At 35.3% G+C, this 4,289-nt stretch overlaps 1 pseudogene across 1 annotated transcript; it reads left to right on the top strand.

Moving 5' to 3' along the window:
- The first annotated feature begins 2,341 nt into the window (after positions 1–2,341).
- Positions 2,342–3,158, top strand: BRDTP1 (bromodomain testis associated pseudogene 1; annotated as a pseudogene). The gene has a single exon (NR_003539.1). The product of NR_003539.1 is annotated as a bromodomain testis associated pseudogene 1 (transcript).
- The last annotated feature ends 1,131 nt before the right edge of the window (positions 3,159–4,289 follow it).

Here is a 4,289-nt window from a genome sequence, read left to right as displayed (position 1 = left end):
CAGAACAACAGAATATACACTCTTCTCATTGCCACATGGCAGTTATTCTAAAAGCGATCACATAATCAGAAGTAATTGCAAAAGAACTGAAATCATAAGAAATAATCTCTCAGACTACAGTGCAATCAAATTAGAAAAGATTAAGAAATTCACTCAAAACCTTGCAATCACATGGAGACTTATTAACCTGCTCCTGAATGACTTCTGGGTAAATAATAAAATTAAGGCAGAAATCAAGAAGTTCTTTGAAACTAAAGAGAACAAAAATACAACGTACCAGAATCTCTGGAACACAGCTAAGGTAACGTTAAGAGGGAAATTTATAACACTAAATATCCACATGAAAAAGTTAGAAAGATCTCAAGTAAACAACCTAATAACACAACTAAAAGAACTAGAGAACCAAGAGCAAACAAATCTCAAAGCTAGCAGAAGACAAGAAATAAAGTCAGAGCTGAACTGAAGGAGATAGAGACACGAAAAACCATTTAATAGATCAATGACTCCAGGAGTTGGTTTTCTGATAAACCATAATAACATAGATAGAATACTAGCTAGACTAATAAAGAAGAAAAGAGAAAATTCAAATAAACACAATCAGAAATGACAAGGGAAATACTACCACTGACCCCACAAAAATGCAAACAACTGTCAGAGAATATTAGGAACACCTCTATGCACATATACTAGAAGATCTAGAAGAAATGGATAAATTCCCAAATGCATACACCCTCCCAAGACTGAACCAGGAAGAAATTGAATCCCTGAACAGACCAACCATGAGTTCTGAAGTTGAGGCAGTAATAAATAGCATACCAACCAAAAAAGGCCCAGGACCAGATGGATTCACAGATGAATTCTACCAGATGTACAAAGAGGAGCTGGTACCATTCATTCAAATTGAAACTATTCCAAAAATCGAGGCAGAGGGACTCCTCCTTAACTCATTCTGTGAGGTCAGCATAATCCTGATACCAAAACCTGGCAGACATACAAAACAAAACAAAACAAAACAAAACAAGACAAAAAAGAAAACTTCAGACCAATATCCTTGATGAACATCAAGGCAAAAATCCTCAACAAAATATTGGCAAGTTGAATCCAGCAGCACATCAAAAAGCTTATCTGCCATGATCAAGTAGGTTTCATCCCCAGGATGCAAGGTTGGTTCAAAATATGCAAATTAATAAATGTGATTCATCACATAAACAGAACTAAGGACAAAAACCACATGATTATCTTCATAGATGCAGAAAAGGCTTTTAATAGCCATTCATTTAAAAACTCTCAATAAAGTAGGTATTGAAGGAACATATCTCAAAATAATAGGAGCCATGTATGACAAACCCACAGTCAATATCATACTGAATGGGCAAAAGATAGAAGCATTCCTCTTGAAAGCCAGCACAAGACAAGGATGCCCTCTATGACCACTCCTATTCAATGTAGAATTTGAAGTTCTGGCCAGGGCAAACAGGCAAGAGAAAGAAATAAAGGGCATCCAAATAGGAAGAGAGAAAGTCAAACTATCTCTGTTTTCAAATGATATGATCCTATATCTGGAAAACACTAGTCTCAGCCCAAAAGCTTCTTAAGCTGATAAGCAACTTCTGCAAAGTCTCAGGATACAAAATCAATGTGCAGAAATTACTAGCATTCCTATACAACAACAACAGTCAAGCTGAGAGCCAAATCACAAATGAACTCTCATTCAGAATTGCCCCAAAATAATAAAATACCTAGGAAGACAGCTAACTAGGGGGGTGAAAGATCTCTACAACGAGAACTACAAACCACTGCTCAAAGAAATTAGAGATGACAAAGAAATGGAAAGACATTCCATGCCCATGGATAGGAAGAATCAGTAATGTTAAAATGGCCATATGGCACAAAGCAATTTATAGATTGAATGCTACTTCTATTAAATTACCATTGACAGTCTTCACAGAAACAGAGAAAACTATTTTAAAATTTATATGGAACCAAAAAAGAGCTGAATAGCCAAGGAAAATCTGCAGCAAAAAGAACAAAGCTGGAGACACCATGCTACCTGACTTCAAACTATACTACAGGGCTGCACTAACCAAAATAGCATGGTACTGATAGAAAAAGAGACACATAGACTAATGAAACAGAATAGAAAAACCAGAAATAAGACCACACACTTACAACTATCTGATCTTCAACAAACCTGACAAAAACAAGCAATGGAAAAAAGGATTCCCTATTCAATAAATGGTGCTGGTACAACTGGCTAGCCATATACAGAAGATCAAACCCGAAGAGCTTCCTTACACCACATACAAAAATTATCTCAAGATGGATTAAAGACTTAACTGTACACACCTTCCTGTGGAAAGCCACAAAATCAGCACCAATTAGCATTTAATTATCAAGAATTAGAACATTTACAGACTGTGAAAAACATTTCATCTTTACAAATTCTGCCTCCCTCAGGTGATTCTGAGCAGCTTTCGAATGGCATAACTGTGATGCATCCACCTGGTGATAATGACACAACTATGTTAGAATTTGAATGTCAAGATCCTGTGCAGAAGGATGTAAAGATTAAGAATGCAGATTCATGGAAAAGTTTAGGCAAACCAGTGAAACCATCAGGTATACTGAAGTCCTCAGGTGAGCTCTTCAACCAATTTAGAAAAGCAGCCATAGAAAAGGAAGTAAAAGCTCAGACCCAGGAACTGTACGGAGACATTTGGAACAAAAGACAAAGGAACCAAAAGCATCTCAAGAAAATCAGAGGGATCTGGGAAATTAATTGACTGTAGAATCTTTTTCAGATAAAATGCAAAACAAGTGCTATGGAGAAGAGCAGAAAGAACATATGCAGTCATTGGAAGCTCAAGATAAATGCAAACTCTGGTTTCTCAAAGACCGTAATTTAACACGGGAGAAAGCACAAGAGTGGAGAAGGAGAGAAGCAATGGCAGGTACCATTGGTATGACTTCAAAGAGACATTATGACAATGTTTGAAAACAACTTTGATTAAAACTCAGTTTTTAAATTAACCGTCAACTTAAAATGAATGGTAAAAGATCAAAATGCATATGGTAAAATGATTGCTTTCAGATAACAAGATACCAATCTTATATTGTAGTTTGACCACTCTAAAATGATTAAATGGTTTTCACTTACAAAAAAATAGAAAGAAAAGACAACTGTAAAACCCAAAACAATGAAAACCCTGAAAGACAACCTAGGCAATACTATTTAGGACATAGGAATGGGCAAAGGTTTCATGATGAAGATGCCAAAAGCAATTACAACAAAAGCAAAAATTGACAGATGGTATCTAGTTAAACCTAAGAGCTTCTGCGTAGCAAAAGAAACTATCAATAGAGTAAACAGACAAACTACAGACTGGGGGAAAATTTTTGCAAACTATACATTTGACAAAGGTCTAATATCCAGCATCTATAAGAAATTAAACAAATTCACAAGAAAAAAAAACAACCCTGTAAAAAAGTGGGCAAAAGACAGGAATAGACACTTTGCAAAAGGCATACATGTGGCCAACAATCATATGAAATAAAGCTCAACATCACTAATCATTATTGGAATGTAGATCAAAGCCACAGTGAGATACCATCTCACACCCGTCAGAATGTCTCTCTCTCCACACACATACCATCTTATTTTTCCTGAACTGTTTGAGAATGTCTTGTTGATGCGATTCCTCTTCTCTCTAAATACTTTATTGGATATTTTCTAAGAATAAGAATTCGCTTACTTGATCATATAACACTTATCAAAATTAACAACTTGACATTGATATAATACTATTATCTAGTGTATAGATGTTATTGAGTTTTTGCCAATTGTCCTAATACAGTCCTTATAGCAAAAGAAAACTCAGAATTATGTATTGTGTTCAGTTGTGTTTTGTATTGTGTTCAGTGTCTTATTTTATTGGGAAAATTTCAAGGCTTTATTTGTATTTTACAACATTGGCAGTTTTGAAATGTATAGGTCTGTAATTATGTAGAATGTCTCTCCATTTGAGTTTATTTTTTGTTTCTTATGATTAGTTTTAGCTTAAGCACTTTTGGCAGGATCACCACAGAAGCAATTCTGAATTCTTAGTGCATCATATCAATAGGGCACGTGAAATTGATTGGTCCCATTACTGGCAATGTTCACTGGCATCATTTTGTTGCAATGGTGCCTGCAAGATTTCTCTACTATAAAGTAGTTAACAAGTATCTTGTGGGGATATACTCTGAGACTATGTAAATATCATGTTTAGAACCAAAAAATTGGAAACATG

Source organism: Homo sapiens, chromosome X (genome assembly GCF_000001405.40).
Source record: "Homo sapiens chromosome X, GRCh38.p14 Primary Assembly".
In the NCBI taxonomy this organism is placed as follows: Eukaryota; Metazoa; Chordata; class Mammalia; order Primates; family Hominidae; genus Homo; species Homo sapiens.
The sequence above is the reverse complement of the archived record's forward strand: the minus strand, read 5'-3'. Positions and strand labels throughout refer to the sequence as shown.